The sequence below is a fragment of the Homo sapiens genome, chromosome 10 (assembly GCF_000001405.40).
Source record: "Homo sapiens chromosome 10, GRCh38.p14 Primary Assembly".
Classification (NCBI taxonomy): Eukaryota; Metazoa; Chordata; class Mammalia; order Primates; family Hominidae; genus Homo; species Homo sapiens.
This window is the reverse complement of record NC_000010.11, coordinates 129,924,687-129,944,586: the sequence shown is the minus strand read 5'-3', so window position 1 is coordinate 129,944,586 and position 19,900 is coordinate 129,924,687. Positions and strand designations below refer to the sequence as shown.

Here is a 19,900-nt window from a genome sequence, read left to right as displayed (position 1 = left end):
CAGCCTACCCTAAGAGTGATAATGAAATATGACAGAAATTTCCTTCTGCTGGATCAGTGGCAAGAGAGGTCCTACACCGCCTATATTAATTCATCTGACTTATGTTCCAGGTCTTGATTTACCTTATGATTAAAAACTTCTGCAGGTTTGCTCACCAATTGAAATCAGATCTCATCTGCAGCCCAGCGGTATTGATCCCTATTTAACATCAAGGCTCAGAATTGATTGGCATTGATTAACAATAAAAATGTTCCCTGCATGTCCAGCCACCAAGCCAATATTCTGAAGGCAGTGCACTCTGGTGTTCCCCTCATTGACCAATCTGAAAGGAGAAATGACCCCACCCGCAAATAAACAATATATTTTAATGTTATTGTAACTGGATGCCGGACCGGCCTTGCAAATTGATTTTATTCTTGTTGTATAAGATAAATATCTTTAATAAAATTCTCATTTTATTTAGGATTTTACAGGAATAACTTGATTACTAGAACGGTGATATTTTTCTTTTCCCACGGTGTAAAAAATGGATTAAAACATAAAGGCGATAATAACATAACACTAGAGATGAAATGTTAATCAACTCAGAAATCACGCATAGGGTGGGAAGGTCTGGGGAGATATTTTACCCATGGACACACGCGCTGCACCCTCAGAGCGACTGGTTTTACCGAGCATTTTACGGTTTCAGCTGGGTCTGCGCCGAAGGCCAGCGCCCTCCATAACGTTGCTGAACATATGGTTCCAGAGAGCTCAGCACAGAAAAAAACTGCTCAAAAGGATCAAGCCCAAAAACCTTAAAGAGACTGAATCTTTGTTTCTGTGTTGTTTTCATTGGCTAGCATAGATGCAGCCTGTGAAAAGAATTCCTAGCAATTCTTTTAATTCATAGCAGAGGTAAAAAAAAAATGTCTGAAGGAAAATAAATGAGGAAAAGTCTCACACACTCAAACTTTGGATGTGCACGCCGGGGACCTGTCTTGTTCCCAAGCCCGGCTGGCGACTCCTGGCAACCACTTGAGGCTCATCCCTAGCATCCAAGTGCGCTGGAGGCCAGGTCCAGCTGAAAGAAATTATCCAATCTCTAACCTCCAGAAGTTTACAGTTATATAATGATGGAGAAAACCACAAATCCCAAGGGACATCAAATTTTAGCGATACTTTTAAAATGAAATTATCCAGCCAAGCCTATAAGACAACCTTCTTGTGCTTAAGACAATAACTACAATCTGGAATTAATTTTTTTTGTGATAGGGCAAATCCAATTTGCTTCTTTAACTGTTGATTAAGGAATCAGTTCTACAAGGCTGTCTCCTGTAAGTATTTGCTGTTTATTTGTTTGTGGAGAGCCGCTGAAATCCCCTCCAACTGGGAAGGCCGGGTCAGGCCTGGCCCCAATGAAGAGCTGCCTGGCAGCTCTCTGGCTCTGGCGGGCCTTGTTTATGTGGAGGAAGTTGTTGGCTTCTTGAGCAGCCGGTGGAGTGATCCAGTCATTCCCATCGTGCAGGCAAAGTGGTTTAGAATGGAGGACAGGAATCGGTTGTATCTGCTACCTTCCTCTTAGAATCCAGAGAAAAACACCCATTAGAAAGCAGTACATAAGTGCATGCTGTAAATTAGAATGTATCTTGCTCCTAGGTCTGCTGAATTAATGTCAACGCGTGATCTGGCAACTGGCTTCAAAACAAACGCCTGTACCTGAGCGTTCTGCACAGAAAATTTCTGTCCCTCCCACCCCAATTTAGATTTGTATGGGAGGAGAGTCTGTCCTGGTTTTTAAAAGTCAGTTGTAAGTATTTAATACAATTTTTTATTGATTTCATTTAAAAGTAAGATCTTACTGATGGTACATTCCAATGCAGTCACCACGCTGGCAGACAGGCAGGCGTTATTTAGAAGAAATAAATGTGATCGTGGCATGCGTAAAAGAGCAGAGAGGCCATCTCTGGAATGCACCCTGTGTGGACGTGGTAGTCCCCAATTTTCCCCAGTGCCCCGGGGCCCGAGTTGTCTGCTTTGCTGTTTGGGTTTGACCTGACTGTCCCTGAGCTCATGAAGGCTGCACAGCTGTCCCTACAGCGTGTGGGACGCTCTTGCAGGACCACTGGGGCTGGTGCTCTGGGTAGGTGAACACAGTGGTGACACTGATTTGCTTTTGTTTTGTTTGGCATTTACCTAACTGTAGGCCTTTCCCCCAGCGTCAGTATTCAGCACCCTTCTTGTTTTTGTGATTTTGGGGGTTTATTTTTGTCAATGCATCTTATATTACTGTCTTGGGAAGCAGGTCCACAGGGCTAAAGAAGGGTCCTGGACCACCCTAGAAAGATGTTTTCTTGTTGGGGAAATGTCCTAAAATCACTCAAAAGCTGCGATGATCTTTCAAAACTTAAGCACAATTTTTATCTTCCTAAAAGCTCTTGTAAATGAAAATCAGTTAGTGCTAAGAACCTGCAGGGAGCCGTCCATGCTGAGAGAGGCCTGGTGCCCTGAGTGGGTGAGGCGGGGCTCCCTGAGGATAGGAGGTGTTTCTCCTGGCTGCGGGGACACAGGGGTCAACAGCTTGGGCCACTGCTTTTAAATGGGGTGGGGGGGCTCCATTCCCAAGGAACTGCCAAGTCCTCGTGTGTCTGTCCTGTGAGCTCACTTTGCTCCCTGTGTCATCCCTTGTGGGTCTGGATTGGGATCTCACCCAGCACCTGGCCCTGGGATGACCCCGCAAATGGCTGCTGTCTGCCCTTGGCAGTTTTGGCCTCTGCAGAGCCCTTCTTTGGTAGCTCCACCCAGGCCTGGCACTGCATTACTCAGGAAGCCTTCTGGAAGGCCAGCCTGGTCCTGTCCCCAAGCTCTGCCTCCTTGAGGGGTTCCTGCCTCTGCCTTGCCCCTTTCTCTGGCCTCCAGGCCCTGGGGATGGAGCGCTGCTCACTGCCCTGGCCATCTCCTCACTGCCACCTCTGCCTGCTCACCTCCACCGCCGCCAGAGTGCCCAGCGCTTTGGGCCTGGAGGGCTCCCCCCTGACCCTTTGGCCTGCCCGGAGTCTGTGGCCGAGTCTCCTCTCTCCCAGTGCCCAGTGCTCACCCAGCACCTCTCCTCTGTGGCCTAGTCTTGGCACTGTCCCCGGGTGGTGGGTTTCCTAGAAGCAAGGCCTCAAGAAGGGCTGCTGGGCCACCTCCAGGCGTTCAGTGCCTGGCACACCTTTTGTGATGACCGGGGCAGAACAGACATTTGTGTTGTCCCTGTCACGTGTCCACCTGCTTTGAGGCCTTGTGTTTCTGAGCAAGGGTGCGGAGCTCCAGCCCGGCTCATCTGACACCCCTTGCTGCCCTGTAAGCTGATATCCTTGCTAAGTCTCGCTAAGCCCATCATGGGTTTCTTTCGTCCCTTGAACTTGATGCCTGCCAACAGGCTGAATTTAGTGGTTATTTATCTCAATCTACTATGGAGGTAGGATGTTTTACTTTCCTAATTTAAAATAAACGCATTTTCCCACATGTTGTCACTGAGTTTCCAAGAGAGATTCAGGGAGTGGGCGGGCTCTCCCTCACGTGTTCCTGGGACCTGGGAAGCTCTAAGAGCAGGTCTTGCTCACTGCTGGGGTGGGTCCCATTGTAGACATGGGACTGCTCCACGGCCAGGCAGTCCGAGGCTGGGGGACCGGGGACCTACCTGGTTTTACGCTGCAGTCCTGTTTGCTGTGGCCCAACATGGGAGGATCGAGTGTGGGATGTTTATGGCAGCCCTGGTGACAGGTTTCCGGGGTGGGCGGTGCCCTCTGCCTTCCCATGCCCAGACTCCCCCGCGGTTCCCCTGGCATCCTGGGCCACCCCTGGGTGGGGAGGGGGCCTGGAGAACTCCTGAGGCCACCTCTGCTCTTCCTCTGCCAGCCCCCTACTTCCTAGCAGGTGTGAGGAGGAGGGCAGGGGCAGATGCCATCATTCCTCACCCGCCCACAGTAGAGATAACAGCAGCTCATGGTTTTAAGTGCTACTAAGCATGGGGCTCTTTACAAGGTATGCCTCTCACAGCCCTCTTATTATAATGACTGTCATTTCCTCAGATTTGGGGACATTGAGAAGCTTGTTTGAGGTCACTCAGCTGGGAAGGGGTATAGCTGGGATTTGAAACCAGGCTGTCGGGTCCTTTATTCTTTCCCCTTCTGTGCCTGGGGCTGGGCAGGTGGTGAAGACCCCATCCTGGACTAGCCCAGGAGGCCCAGGGGGCTCACATTGAGAGGGCTAGGGGGCTCTGCCTTTGAGCTTTGAGGGCTGAGCTGGATGAGCCCCTTCTCTCATGGCTTTCTTGAAATGCGTGGGGTTTTGTGAGGACAGGTCAGAGGGTAGGGCCTGCAAGGTGAGGAGGAGGAGGGGAAGGCTGCTCCTGACCTACAGCTGTGGGCACGCACAGAGCCCAGGATGCCTGTGCAGGGAAGCAGCTGGTTTGTGTGTGTGACATGGCAGTGCAGATGTGTGCCTGGGCAGGGGCTTGAGTCTGACCCACAGGTGAGCTCACGCCATTGTGCCCTGTTTGCCTGTTGGACACCAGTGGGCCCTCGGGGTTGTGTACTCGGAAAAGAGGCTGATACATCCCCGTCAGAGGGGAAGCTGCCAGGAATGGTACCTCTAGAGGGGGACGTGGGCCACAGGGGCATGGGGGACCCTCTAGCACTAGAGGCTCTCACAGGTCTTAGCATAACTCCTCGTAAGTCCTCAGGACGTGGTATCTAGAAAGATTTTGCTCCTAAGTGCAACCGTAAGGTCGGTTCCATTTTCCTGGGCTATAAATAACTTAAGACGAAGTCCGGTATTAGCTTGCGTGTGACAGAAGTTTGCCATTGACTCTGGGATCTCTGGTTCCACGTGGGAATTCTAACTCCATTGATCGCTGAGAAGCATGGGAAGAGTGTCCAGTCTGACGAAGTCTGCATAGCAGAGGAGCAGAATGATGGCCCCGGGGTGGCATTAGGAGGAGACGCAGACGTTGTGGCAGAGTGGGCAGCTGTCGTTTGAATTTCCCTTGAACTGTTTCCTCACCACGCTTGGCAAAACAAAGAAAACAGAACCAAAACAAAAAACAAAAACAAAAACCCCAAGTCTTTAAATGAGATCTGCATAGTCAGAACATTGCCCAGAGGAACGGTCACGTGTTTCAGCTGATGGCAGTGGGAACTTTTAATGTGATTGTTGGTTGGTTTGATTTTTGATGAAGTCTGGAGTTTCTTATGTAGACTGGCATGATCATGCTGTTTTCAGATTTCACCCTGTCCTTCGTATTTGTCAGTCCCTTGAGAAGTGGCAGGATACTTTTGACCTGGGAGAGGGGAGGGTGGAGGGCAGGAAGGAGGGCCAGGGCTGCCAGCCAGCACTGACACCACTGCCCCCAGAGTGTGCTCGAACACAGTTTGGCTGCCACTGCTCTGCTCTCCAGGCAGGTCTTAGAAGTTGAAGGCTGTGTGTGCCACTGACGCACAGGACACACAGGGGCACCTTCTGGGTGGGTGGGATTGTTTGCTTCTGAAATGTAATGAACTTGAGATTCAGATTATTTTGTGCAGTGGAGTGGTTTGGTGTTTCCTCTGAAAAAGAAAGACATCAAGAGCCCTCATTTATTTGTTTGGGACAGGTCAGAGGTTCTAGGAGCTGTTTAAAGGATGGAGTTGGGATAATTGAGTCATCAGATGCCAACTGGTCACTTTGGCCTTGGCAGTCTGACTGGATCCAGAAGGCCTGCAGTGGGTTCTTCCTGGTTCTGCCCCAAAGTTCTGTTCTCTTTCCCCAGGTTGGTTTTATGGGCCACGAAGACCCCCATGTAACATCTTGCCCCTATTGACTCAATGGCCTTGACTTGCTTGGAGCACAGGCCAGGTCCCAGGACACAAGGCAGTGCTCGTCGGTTGCAGCCGCACCTTTCTCGTGGACAACAGCCAAGGAGGAGGAGCGTTCTGCTCGTGCCTGCCTGGGCTGCCCATCAAAAATGCTAAATTGTTTTCTTCTTTTCCCTCATGAACTTCTATTTTTTTACTTTTATTTATTTTATTTTCGAGACAGGGTCTCACTCTGCCACCCAGGCTGGGTACAGTGGCACAATCACAGCTCCCTGCAGCCTGGACCTCCTGGGCTCAAGCAATGTTCCCACCTCAGCCTCCTGGTAGCAGGGACTACAGGTGTGCACCACCATGCCTGGCTAATTTTTGTCTTTTTTTTTTTTTTTTTTAAATAGAGATGGGGTTTTGCCATGTTGCCCAGGCTGGTGTTGAACTCCTGAGCTCAAGTGATCTGCCTCCCTTGGCCTTCCAAAGTGCTGGGACTATAGATGAGAGCCATTGCACCCGGCCCCGCCATGAACTTTAAAAAAACCCACTAATTTCCGTTCTAGAACAGAGCAGTCTGTGTACCAGAGGGGCTCACTGATGAAGCCTCATGCGGGGGGCTAGCCTCGCACAAAAACTCAGCAGGAGCAGAAGAGAGTCTCCTGCCAGGTGCTGCTGAAGGACATGGTGGTCTCTTTACAGTTTGCGTGGTTGTGGAGTATGATTGTGTATGTGATGTCAATGAACATGCCAGAAAATAGCTTGTACCATTTCGAAGTATTTTGACTAATGCATTTTGTGAAAGTGTACCCATGTGCCTACTTAAAAGAAAATACCATTATTTAGAAAAAATGTGAGTTTTCATCATGCTTCACCTTTTAGGGGGATGGAATATTATAAGATGCTGGGATGGAATGTTTCCCCGGGAATTCCTCAGCAGTTGTCAAGCACAGTGACGTCTTGGGGAAAGTGTGGCTCGGAGAGGACTTGAACTCCTTTAGAGCTGCTCCCCTTGGCTGCCAGGGACAGCCCGGGACAGGTTGGCCTGGGGGTGGGCCATGGTGAGGAGATGAGGTATCAGTGAGGAACACAGATGTGACCTGCAGTCCCCAGCGGTGTCTCTGGTGCTGCGTGGGCACGGGGCGGGGACTGGACAGTGGTTCTCTTTCCCATGGCCTCAGTTGTGGGCAGGCTGAGCTCGTAAGCCCTTGTGATCAGGCGTAGCTGCCTGAATGGGAATGTGCGGATGGACAGGTGGGCTTGCAGACCCCCACAGGTTGTGTGGGCTTGGGGCAGCGCTGGTGTGTCTTGAGGGCAGGAGCATGTGACAAAGCCTGCTCCTTTTTCTTGCTGTCACCACTAGCCTTTCCCACCTGAGGTCCCTGGGGCCTCTCTGTTCTCAAGGATCGTATTCCCACTCAGGGTCACCCAGGGAAGGCTTGTCTAGATTTGGGGTGTCCTGAGCCTCTGTCCTTTAGCTGGGCAGTGCTGTCTAAATCATCCTGCCCTCTGCTCAAACTAGGGGTCTCTGTGCGCCCCGGAACCCCAGGCTCTTTCCCTTGTCGACCCGGCCCCCTACGGCCTGTGGTTGTCCCACCCATCTGATCCCAGTTGTAGACTCAGGGATCTTGTTCCCGGCACGATTGCTGTCCCACTTTCAGACAGCCAGTCCAGCTTTTGGGGATTCTCTGGGCTCCTCCTCACTGCAGCCCTTGGGGCCCGAATGAAGCTGGCTGGCGCCTGGCACTCGGCATGCATCACGTAGGAGATGCACTGTCGCGGGAGGGGTGACTGAGGGTTGTTCTCACACGTCCGATCCGTGGAGCCCAGGTCATCAAGGAGGCAAAAGCTTCTGTTGAATTAGGAACTCTCTTGGCCAAAGCATGGCCCTCCTGCCTTGATTTGTTCGTGTCTGAGGTTCCCTGTGGGGGACTTGGTTGTAGCAGTGCTTCCCTGCCTTGGAGCCCCCACAGTCCCCTGGGTCCCCACACAGCTGAGGGTCCCCCCACAGCCCCCTGGGTCCCCACACAGCTGAGGGTCCCCCCATAGCCCCCTGGGTCCCCACACAGCTGAGGGTCCCCCCACAGCTCCTAGTTCCCCACACAGGCTGCAGGTCCCCTACACAGCCTCTGGTCCCCCCACAGCTGAGGGTCCCCTGCCATAACCCCTGGTTCCCCACACAGACCGAGGGTCCCCCATAGCCCCTGGTTCCCCACATAGCTGAGGGTCCCCCCACAGCCCCTGGTTCCCCACACAGCTGAGGGTCCCCTGCATAGCCCTTGGGTCCTCACACAGGCCGAGGGTCCCCTGACAGGCCAGCCCTACTTCCCGTGGGCCTCTCCCATCCCTCAGCAAGCCGGGGCCTGGGCAGCCTGTCTCCTGTGCTCTGTCCTCTCAGCCTTTGGCATCATCCCCAGAGAGAGATGCACTGGCCTTCCTGCCCCTCAGGATGACTCTGAGCCAGAGACAGGAGGGGGTGGTGGGCTGGGCAGGGGTTATGTCCTGGTTCCACCTGGTAGAAGCCAGGGGACCTCAAACCAGTCCTCACCTTCCCTGGGCCTGACTTTTAGAGGACTGAGACCTTGCAGGTGAAGGGAGGGGACTTTATAACTGTCAGGTGGGTGTGAGAGTCAGTCGCAATGTTTTCTATCATTCCATAAATGGAATTCTATATAATTCTATAATTTAATAATTGCAGCAATTGTAATTGATGTGGCTGCTCTGCACAGTCCCCCAGAACCATCTGCACCTGCCGCCGTTGACTCGCAGCCCTGGGCACCAGCTGCATTGTTGGGCGGGGGGGGCAGCTTCAGGAAGCCCCCCGATGGATGATGGTGGAGGAGGGGCCCTGGTGCTCCAGGGCTGCTTGGGCTCTGCCTTCCCCGGCCATTCCTTTGTCCATGCCTGCCTGTGGCTGATCGTGGCCGCTCTTGGTGTCTTGGCCTCTCCTGTCCCCAGCCCACATTCTATGCCCTTGGCTTTGCCTGAGGCCCCGGTGTGGCAGGGCCAAGCTCTGCTCCAGATGGGCTTAGTCTTTGTTTCTGTGCAGCAGTGACTGCGGGGTTGGCCTCTGGACTCCCCAGTGCTGACGTAGGAGGAATGGTGGCTGAGAGCTGTCTGTGCCCTGGACGCCCAGGCTCTGGGCTCTGGATGAGCAGCCCTGATCAGGAGGCACCGCCTGCTGCCCGCCAGCCTTGTGGGGTGCATGTATCTAACCCCATGCCTTACATATGGGTGCTTGGTGCTCCGCAGTTGGCGCTGAGTTGGGAGGCTTGTTCTTAGGGTTGGGGTCACACAGGAATTGGCAGCTGCTCTGTCCTCAAGGAGGTCCCGTTGGTGGGAGTTTGCAGCACAGAAGGAAGGTCAGAATGATGGCACTGGGTCCTTCTGCTGGAGCCAGGCAGGACAGGATCCCACCTTCCCCACCGGAGAGCTGGGAAGGCAGGGCCACCCTGGTCCCAGGCCGCCAGTCACTGGGCAGATCCAAGCCTGGTTCCCAACTCCACTCTGGGTGCTGGGACAGCCATGGGCCACAGTGGCTGCTGTGACAGGTGCGAGTGGGACCTTCAAGAATCTCCCCTGTGAGAAGCAGCTCACAATGTGGCTACATTTGGCTGGAGTGGAGACAGGAAAATGCATCCACATCATGATCCACTAGAGGGTCCGGTTCTTAGGGAACCGGACCACCAGCTACAGCTAATGTGTTAGGATGAGTACATCCCATGAGATATTTGGGATGTACTTATCTTAAACATTACTTGTTATTGATCTAGTTAGATCACCACCAGGTACACAGTAGGCCCTTGTTCAAGGTGAGCTCACCATCTTCCTGATCCAGACCTCATCCTGACAACCCAGAATGCTTTGGGTTCTAGAGTGTGCCAGAGGGCTCTAGAAGGTTCTAGAAGTTTCCCGAGGGCCCAGCTCTGCACAGAGAATGAATTTGGGCTTCTTTGAGCACTGACCTTTGTCTGTGACTGCAGGCCTGACTGTGGGTGGAGCAGCTCAGATCCAAATGTGGAAATCGTGCCTGTCACCTGGCAGCTAATTTGGCGCCCATGGAGTTGCTGGCCTTTGTTCAGTCTCCTCTTCCCAACTGGAGCAGGAGCTTGTGAGGGAATGGGCTGGAAATTGGAGGGAAATGAGGGGGAGTGAACTTAGAAACTCCCAGCCCCACCGCTAAGCATGCCACTTAATAGTATGCAAATGAGCTAATAGTCAAACAATTACCCAGAGCGACTCATTTACATGGGCCCTGAGATGAGGAAGCAGGAGGGGGACCTGGGGGAGCCACCCGGGAAGGAGCACCTGCAGGTCCCTGTGTGCGGCGAGGTGCCTTAGTTAGAGCCACTGGTATTTATTGGGCACCTACTATGTGCAAGGGACAGATGACGCCTGACCCCAAGTTGCTAGTGAAGATGGAGCCCAGGATCTCCTCAGTACCCGCTGGACCCACAGTGAATGTGGATGGGGTGGGGGGCCTTGCTCTGAGTGTCTGGGGAGCGTGATGTCGCTGCCTGGAAGTGGGGAGGGTCTCTGGGGTCTTCAAGGGTGGAGGGAGGGGCATGTCTTCAGGCAATGGATCAAGGACTAAGAGGAGGCTGGAGAGGGGGGATATTAATACTAGGCCCTGAGGTGCCATGTTCAGTCAGGGTTAAGCTTGCCTGGCAAAATACAAGATGCTCAGCTAAATGTGAATTTTGGAGAAGCAGGGACATTGCTTCTCCGAAATTCACATTTAACTGGGTGCCCTGTATTTTTATTTGCTAAATCTGGCAAGCCCAGCCTGGACAGGGCGCAGGAGCAGAGGGCCTTGGTCTGTGTCCCGGATGGTTCTCTCTGGGACCGTGAAGCTGCTGGAGGGGGAGTTGAGAGAGAGTGGGGCTGAGCAGAGAGGAGGGGAGAGGCAGGTGCTGGCGCCCAGCGTGGCCAGGCTGAGGCCCAGTGTTTGGCACTGGGGGCAGTACTGGGAGGAGGTAGGTTGGGGGTGCCTGGCCTGCCCTGCAGGGCCTTACTCACTCTGGGTGGGCTCTGACCCTGCTGTAGATCACAGAGGAGCCCCCCTGTGGTCTGGCTGATGAAAGGAATAGAGGACATCGAGTGAAGGTTGGTATGGGGCCTTAGGAAACATTCAGCCACGCTTGTGCCTCTTGCACGGGCACCCGCCTGCAGAGGCTGCTGGGCTGGGAGCGGGATTCCCTTCCAGCTCAAGGGACCACTTGAGCCTCAGCGGCTTCCGAGGGCTTCAAGATCCTTTTTCCTTCTTTTGTGTTTCAAGGAATCACTTTAGCTCTAATCGAATGCCATCTATACTGCTGTGCAGGCTGGTTTGAGCCCTTGAAATCTTTCTAAATGCACACTGCCAGTCTGAGTTTTCAACAAATGTTTCTATTCGGCACTGGTCCTCCCCATACTCGGGGCGTCCCAGCTCGTCTGGTGCCAAATTAGCTCCCCTTACCCCTTGCCAGGCATAATTCGCAGCAGTTATTATTCAAAGCCTGTTTTTCGAGAGGCCGCATCCCCTGCGGTTTGCTGTTTGTGGATCTACTTGGTGCCCGTATGTGTGTGTGTGGGTGCACGTGTGTGCGTGTGTGCTCCGAAGTGGCTGCAGAGAGGCAGATATGATCACCGTGGCGGAATCAGGACTGACCCTCCTCCACGTCCATCAATCAGGCTGATTCCAAGCGAATGAGATTTTAATCACCTGTCACTGCCGCCCGCACTTTCTCTATATTTATGATAATTTTTGGGTCTTTTTATTGAAATCAGTGTTGACTGAATCAAGTAATCCTGATTAGCAATCTCACTGTACCCAGTCAAGAGTGAAATGCATCCCAGCCCCGCTGCTACACTGAGCATTCTGAAATTGAAAAAAAAAAAAAAAAAAGGAAAAAAAAGAAATGGTTGAAGTTTGTTTGCCTTGGTTATAGGTGAAGGCTGGGTTGTTTGAGGATGACGGCTGGTTTTAATTGTTCCGAAGCTCGGCCTCCTGCCTGGTCACATGCCGGCTCTGTCAGCGAGTTGTGCACCTTCTGTAACTTCGTGGTGTTGAACAAGTGATGGTTTCCCACATTTTAGTTTGTTTCTGTGGTTTGAAATGCAAAATGTGCAGGAAAAAAAATTGCGTGGCAAGAAGTATTTTTCCAGGGATGGCATCACAGGCACGTGGAGCTACATACACCATGTGCCCCCTGCCCTGCTCACCATCCTGATCACTGTCTGTCCTGCCCTTGGAAATGGTGATGTATTGATCTTTTAGGCAATGGGAATCAACTTTGAAGGTGACAAATAAATATAAGCTTTGAGAGCACTCCTTTCACCTTTCTGAGAGGGAGCCATTGGTCACAGAGTGGCACTCTCAGATCGGCGGCCGCTCTGCCATGTACAGGGGCACCCTTTGCCACATGCCAAGCAAGTGGCCCTTGTCGCCTTGTTGCAGGGGTGAGGGCTGGCTGCCAGGGATTGCCTCCCAGGCTAGGCAGCTTGAGGAATGAATGCCCCAATGTGAGAAGTGGGTTATCCACGAAGGCCTCTGTCTTAGCATTTTATCCGTTACAGTTATGAAAGCAACAATAATACCTTCTTCCCAAGAGGTTGCTTAGAAAGTCAAATGACTTCCAGGTGTGGAGGGGGTGCTTCTACCCTGGCCGTGTGTGTAACTGCCTGCCAGAGTGGCCCGCTTTGTCCTTCATTGCCCTCACCTCTGCTCCTCTGGGAGAGATAAGGAGAGAGCGGACCAAGCCCTCTCTTCTTCCTCTGGCTGGCCTAGCTCTCCAGGGTGGCTGGACATAGCCTGTGGCCACAGAGAACCGCCAGGTTCAGAGGCTTGGTCACCTCTGAAAACATCTGCACATCTTGGGCCAGGAGTGTGTATGGAGACATTTGGGTACCAGGACCCCAGGGCACTCCAGATACCCAGCTAGGCCCTGTAGGGTCCCTCCTGCCTGGTCTACTGGGTTGGGAAGAATAGGACACAGGGTCGCTCAGGGAGCTTGAGGTCAGCAGGCATTGCTTCATGATAGCAACAGTTTAAGTTGAAATAACCAGTGGGCTCAAATTGGTGCTGTTACCAAGACCAATAGAGAAAGAATGAGAAGACTTCGTTTTATAAAATTCAGAGCATACTTCTGATTGTTGGCCTGTGTCAGGCATCAGGGCAGACATCAAGAGCAAGTTAGAATCAGACCATGGCCTTGCCCTCAGGGCGCTCACAGTCGCGGCCCCAGACAGGGAAGTCAACTGTTGGGGCTACTTGCTATATGTCATTTAAGGGCCCAGTTCTCAGAGATGACCTGAGTGCATTCATCACTTCTGGGGCATATTGTGTGTAATTCTGGAGTCCACTTTGGCCATCAGGATCCTCAGCGTGCATGGCAGAGTCTTGTTGCCACACTCAGGCTCTCTTCTTGATCTTGAGGGGATGGTACCAAGATGCACTTGGATCCCAGAAAAATGTTAGACCCCTTAAAGGGCTGTGTCTACAATGCACTTACACCAAAAAGTATCCCCAAGACATTGGGTTCTCAATTGCTTTTCTGCTTCTCTTTAAGTGCTATCCTGTCCAGGGCAAAAAAACCACAAACCCATAGGTATTAGTCAGAGTTTTCCAGAAAGACAGAACCAATAGGAGATATAGAGATAGATATAGACAGATACAGATATAGGTATATGAGAGGGGGATTTGTTAATATAGAGATAGATATAGACAGATATAGATACAGATATATGGGGGGATTTGTTAATATAGAGATAGATATAGACAGATATAGGTATATGAGAGGGGGATTTGTTAATGTAGAGATATAGATATATGAGAGGGGGATTTGTTAATATAAAGATAGATATAGATATATGAGAGGGGGATTTGTTAATATAGAGATAGATATAGACAGATATAGGTATATGAGAGGGGGATTTGTTAATATAGAGATAGATATAGACAGATACAGATATAGATATATGAGAGGGGGATTTGTTAATATAGAGATAGATATAGACAGGTATAGATATAGGTATATGAGAGGGGGATTTGTTAATATAGAGATAGATATAGACAGATACAGATATATGAGAGGGGGATTTGTTAATATAGAGATAGATATAGACAGGTATAGATATAGATATATGAGAGGGGGATTTGTTAATATAGAGATAGATATAGACAGATATAGATATAGATATATGAGAGGGGGATTTGTTAATATAGAGATAGATATAGACAGGTATAGATATAGGTATATGAGAGGGGGATTTGTTAATATAGAGATAGATATAGACAGATATAGATATATGAGAGGGGGATTTGTTAATATAGAGATAGACATAGACAGATATAGATACAGATATATGAGAGGGGGATTTGTTAGTATAGAGATAGATATAGACAGGTATAGATATAGGTATATGAGAGGGGGATTTGTTAATATAGAGATAGATATAGACAGATATAGATATAGATATATGAGAGGGGGATTTGTTAAGGGAATTGGCTCACAGGATTATGAGGCTGAGAAGTCCCATGACAGATTGCCTGCAAGCTGGAGACCCTGGGATGCTGGTATCACGGCTCAGGCCAAGTCTGAAGGCCTCAGAACTGTAGAAGTTGATGGTGTAATCCTCAATCTGAGGGCGAAGGCCTGAGCACCTACGGGACTGCTGGTGTGAATCCCAGAGTGCAAAGGCCTGGAGCCTGAAGTTCTGATGTCCAGGGACAGGGGAGGAAGAGTCCCAGCTCCGGCAGACAGAGGGAGACACTCACCTTTCCTCTGTTTTTGTTCTCTCCGGGCCCCTAACCAATGATGGCACCCACCCACATTGAGGGTGGACCTTCCCTACCCAGTGTGCTCCGACTCACACCCCAAGCTCCTCTGGAAACACCCTCACAGACACACCCAGAAATGATGTTTGACCAGTTCTCTAAGTATTCCTTAATCTAGTCATGTTGACACCTAAAACAAACATCACACCATAGTTCTGTGGTCTCTAATTTCTGTGGCAACTTAGTAACTCTCAGAGTTGGGTGCAGAACAATCACTTGTGTGTGCATTTTGAGGATGCCACCTTGATGGCACCATGGTGCTCTGTGGCCCTCTCTCGTGGACAAAGCATGGGGCTCCACGTCTGACATGGGGGCCTCCTTGGACTGGGTCTAGGGTCTGCCCATCCAGACGCATTACTGATTTGAATGTCCTTGCTCCAAATTCTATTTCCATCTTAATATCTATCAGCAGTGTGTCAACAAGGCTTTCCAAGGCATTATTAAGAAGGCCATCCTCCTGGCCGGGCATGGTGGCTCACGTCTGTAATTCTAGCACTTTGGGAGGCTGAGGTGGGCGGATTGCTTGAGCTCAGGAGTTTGAAACCAACCTGGGCAACATGGTGAAACCCTGTATCTATAAAAATTACAAAAATTACCTGGGTGTGGGTGGCAGGTGCCTGTAGTTCCAGCTACTTGGGAGGCTGAGGTTGGAGGATGGCTTGAGCCCGGGAGGTGCAGGTTGCAGTGAACTGAGATCGCACCACTGTACTCCAGCCTGGGTGACAAAGCCAGACCCTGTCTCAAAATAAATAAATAAATAAAAATAAAGATAAAAAATAAAGAAGACCATCCTCCTACAAATGTTGACATAGCATCGGATATGTCCAGATTACTTCCCACTCTACTCTGGCTGAGTTTATGCTACATCGAGTCCTATCAAGGAATGAAACTCCATCATTCTGAAATGTCTGAGCACAGCCCGAGGGTCTCCTTGTTTGTAACCTCATGGGGATCACCTGCAAGGACTCCCCACACTCCAGACCACTCTGGCCGTTTTACTAATATTGCCACAAATGTGACAAAATCTAACTGCTAATGGATTATCAAATGAATGAAAGATATGGAAAAGTTCACAGAACAGACTGGCATGGCCGTGTCAGCAGCGTTCTCCTGATAGCACATCACAGGATTTGCCAGTGGAGACAGTGATTATTGCAGTGCTCATCTCAATGGTCAGCCGTAAACTGACTCTCAGAACAGAAAACATGCAATGGCCTGGCCTTCTCTGACCTAGTGGAGTAAGCGAAGATGGGCCTCCCAGGAAGCAATTGCCAAAATGTCCTGTGGGAGGTTTCTGGTAGCAGACGGTGAGGGCCTTAGTTTGCACACAGAATCCACATTCTCTGTCTAGGAATATCTCCTAAGCACCTAGAAATGCAGATAATTTATGAATGAAGACTGCATTGTGGTGTTTTCACAATAAAGTTTAGGAAGCTTTCTGCCCCACAACAGGGAGCTGTGAAATAAATTATGGAAGGTCCCTGTACTAGAATCCTGGAGAAGGCGGATTAGTGCATACAATGGAAACGTTCTTACCACGTAAAATTAGGCAAAAATGATATAAAAATGTGTGTACTGGATGATCCCAGTTTTGTTTAAATATGCAGAAATGGGATTGTGAGGAAATAATCAGACTAATAATTGTGGTTAGCTCTGGCTGGCGAGTTTATAATTAATTTTTATATTTTTTGTATACTTTTAGGTATTTTCAAAAGTTTCTACAATGGGCATCAGTTATTTTTATGATCGTAAACGTGCTTTTAAAGCTTACAATGCTTCACACGTCTGTTCACACGTCTGTCAGGTTTCTGCCTGAGTCGTTTTCGCATGAGGCTGACCGAACTGTTCTTTACTCGGCTGGACGTCTTGAGTTTGCAGGGCAAGTGGCATTGCTCGGAATAGTAACGGTTCCTGTTAGATCTCATTTCTGCCAGTCTTCTCCCCATTTCTGGTAGCAGACAGTGGGGGCCTGGAGAAGCCAGCACCAGTCCTGGGCTGGGAATCTCAAGCTCTCCACCGAGCACTTGACAACATGCAGACGGTGGGGTGGAAATAGAGTTTGCCTGTGGAGACTCCACCTCCCCATCCCTGTGTCCTAACTGAGCAGGGCAGAGGAGGGGAGCATCGTGCACAGACGTGGGATGGCCAGGAGAGCTGCTTACATAGCAGACTCTCCTCAAATAACTGAGCAGGGAGGAGCCCTAACCCAGTGGATAAGGGACCCAACTGTCCTCAGGGGACATCTCAGGGCAGGTAGACTCAAAGGGCAGAGGGAGGGCCGAAAGGAAGAAGACGACTATGAAGAAATGCAAGATCCTCACATTCCAGAGGCATGGGTTCAGGGTGGGAGATGTCAGCATAGGAGGCATGGCTGCCCGAGAAGGGGTGAGCTCCCCGTCGTTGCCAGGGTGTGTTTGCAGGCTAAGCAGCCACCTGCAGGCGCTGTTGGAGTCTCTCTGGTGGGGCCACGTGTTGGCTTAGTAGATGGAACCACGTGTCCTGGGCCCCAAGGCTTTCTGTGCCTTTTGTAAGGGGAGATTATGGTTGAATTGATTACAATTGCATGAAGATGGTATATAGATCTTGTTGCTCTCTGAGGGTATTTATGGGAAATTAACTTTTTATGTATTTAATTGAATTTAGAAATATGTTGCATCCACTTTTCACTTAAAAATATGTGAAACCAGAATGGCCACCACGGGGACCAAGCCCACGTCATGCTGGTGCTGGTTCCTCCTGGCCATGTGCTGGTTTGTGCAGCTGAGAACAGAATGGGAACGGGCATTTTTATTTGTCCCCATCGCCCGGGAGCCTGGTCGGTTGTGTCGCTTCTCAGGCAATAAGCAACTGAATGGACTGGCAGTGGCTCTTCAGGCTTTTAGGTTTGCTAAAAACAAAACAAGCCAAAAAAGATGCGCCTGACTTCCTCTCGTGGCCAATGGCACTGCCCAAGGGAGCAGCGGTTCCTGGGGCCACGGTGGAGGATGCCCACCTGTTCAGAGTCCCAAGAAGCCCTGAATCGGCACCTTGCCCACCTTGCAGCCTGTCCCCCGGGAGCAGGCTCTGGAGCCCCGTTTCGGGGAACGCTGAGCACACCTGAAGCCTCCACGTGGGGTGGGCAGTGCTGGCCGTGGCTCCTGCTGGTTCCACACTCTGACATGCAGGGCCTTGGCTATGTGTGTCCTCCAGTGAGGCACACCCCCTCCAGCGGAGGGGCATCCTCGTTTCCTGGAGCACCCTCTTTCCATTCTCCCATGTTTGTTTTTCTTTTGTTTATTCCACACCTTTTTTGGGTAGTGAGTAAGCCTGTCCCAGCCGCCCTTGAAGGTGCCAGTGGGTGCTCCAGTCTGCCCAGCCCCCTCCCTGGCCACTTGGCCACAGGCTGTCTCCACCCCCCAAGCCCTGAGATGCTTCCCTGTGGAGCTTTGGGGTGACACGAGGTTTCACTGCTTTGGGCTGAGTGGTCCATGCACCGCGGATTGTCCTAAGAGTTTCAGCCCAGGGTCTGTGTGTGTGGTGCCAGCTCCACCTGTCCAAATCCCAGCCACACCTTGAAGCCTCCCCTGTTCTCCCTGCACCCCCACCTTCACACCAGCCAGGCCGTGTGCATCACTCTCTAGGCCTTGCACAGTCCCTCCACAGGGTCTCAGGAAGGGGGACTCCCTTCCCCACTGGAGTCCATGCTCTTGCGGGCTGGCGCCAAGGTGTGCGTTCCGCCATTCTCGTCCTGCCTGGCACGGGACTGGCACCCGTCAGATGCTCTCGGTATTCATTATGAATGAATGAATGAATGAATGAATGGCTGCGACACAGCACCTCGGGAAGCAGTGAAGGTGTCTTCATAAGGAACTGAAATCCTTCTCAGTTAAAAACAGTGCAGTTTTGCCAGTCACGCCCCCTGTCCTCAGATGTCTCTCAGCATTTCAGTGTGACACTTTGCCCACTTTGTGTTTCTTGTTCAAGATGCTCTAAAGGTATCAGGGCTATTAATGCACAAATTCCAGTTTAGGGATTCCACAGATCTTCACTGGCCCCCAGTGGCAGTGAGGCACAGGCTGCTTTCCTAACTGTCCTGGATTCTTCATGGTGGGCTTTTGAGAATTCTCGTGCACTAGACCAGCGGAAGGAGCTACGTGGTGCGTGGGCTTTGTGTTGGATGTTTACCTCCTGGAAACATCAGTTCAGCGTGATTGGAACATGTTTTTTGTTTTTATTTTTTTTTCCAATTTTCTTAGTGTGGTAAATATATATAACATAAAATTTATCATTGTAACCATTTTCAAGTATATAGTTCAGTGCATTAAGTACATTCAGAATGTTGTGTAAGCATCACACCATTACTTTCTTTCTTTCTTTCTTTTTTTTTTTTTTTTGAGATGGAGTCTTGCTCTGCCACCCAGGCTGGAGTGCAGTGGTACGATCTTGGCTCACTGTAACCTCTGCCTCCCGGGTCCAAGTGATTCTCCTGCCTCAGCCTCTTCAGTAGCTGGGATTACAGGCATGCACCACCACGCCTTGCTAATTTTTTGTATTTTTAGTAGAAACGGGGGTCTCACTATGTTGGCCAGCCTGGTCTCGAACTCCTGAGTGGTCTGTGTACCGCACATTGTCCTAAGAGTTTCAGCCCAGGGTCTGTGGTGCCAGCTCCACTTGCCCAAATCCCAGCCACGCCTTGAAGCCCCCCACCCCATTCTCCTTGCACCCCCACCCTCACACCAGCCAGGCTCTGTGCATCATTCTCAGGTGATCTGCCCGCCTCAGCCTCCCAAAGTGCTGGGATTACAGGTGTGAGCCACTGCGCCTGGCCCATTACTTTCAATGGCAAAAACTGCAATTACTTTTGCACCAACCGTACACACGCACACACACACACACACACGCGTGCACACACACACCACATTTTGCTTATCCATTCACCCATTGATGGATACTTGGGTGGCTTCCACATTTTAGCAGTTGTGAGTAATGCTGCTGTGAACACGGACGTGCAAGGACTCTTCAGGCCGGGTGCCGTAGCTCATGCCTGTCATCTCGGCGCTTCGGGAGGTAGGAGGATCACTTGAGCCGTGGAGTTTGAGACCAGCCTAAGCAACATAGTGAGACCTCCATCTTCACAAATTTTTTTTTTAAATTAGCCAGGCGTGGTGGCACATGCCTGTGGTCACAGCTACTCAAGAGGCTGAGGCAGGAGGATTGCTTGAGGCCAGGCAGTCGAGGCTACAGTGAGCCATGATCATGCTACGGCACTCTAGCTCGGGCAACAGAGCAGAACCTATGT

At 50.8% G+C, this 19,900-nt stretch overlaps 1 protein-coding gene across 16 annotated transcripts in view, besides 1 other annotated feature; it reads left to right on the top strand.

Annotated features, from left to right (window-relative positions):
- The window catches only part of EBF3 (EBF transcription factor 3), a 129,042-nt gene that overhangs the window by 19,688 nt on the left and 89,454 nt on the right, over nt 1-19,900 (top strand). Inside the window, exon 1 of one of the 16 annotated variants that reach the window (XM_011539575.3) lies at nt 1,735-1,789. The exons of the other annotated variants lie outside the window; for them this stretch is intronic. Within the exon in view, the coding sequence (XP_011537877.1) occupies nt 1,752-1,789 (38 nt within the window). The 5' untranslated portion in view covers nt 1,735-1,751. Of the gene's footprint in view, nt 1-1,734; nt 1,790-19,900 lie in introns of those variants that run through there. 16 annotated transcript variants of the gene reach the window in all.
- Nucleotides 17,139-17,670: an enhancer, noted in NCBI's record as "H3K4me1 hESC enhancer chr10:131725181-131725712 (GRCh37/hg19 assembly coordinates)". NCBI's record gives its function as "activates a minimal SCP1, AML or CMV promoter by ChIP-STARR-seq in naive H9 embryonic stem cells {active_cell/tissue: H9 hESC(naive)}" and the evidence as "EXISTENCE:reporter gene assay evidence [ECO:0000049][PMID:30033119]".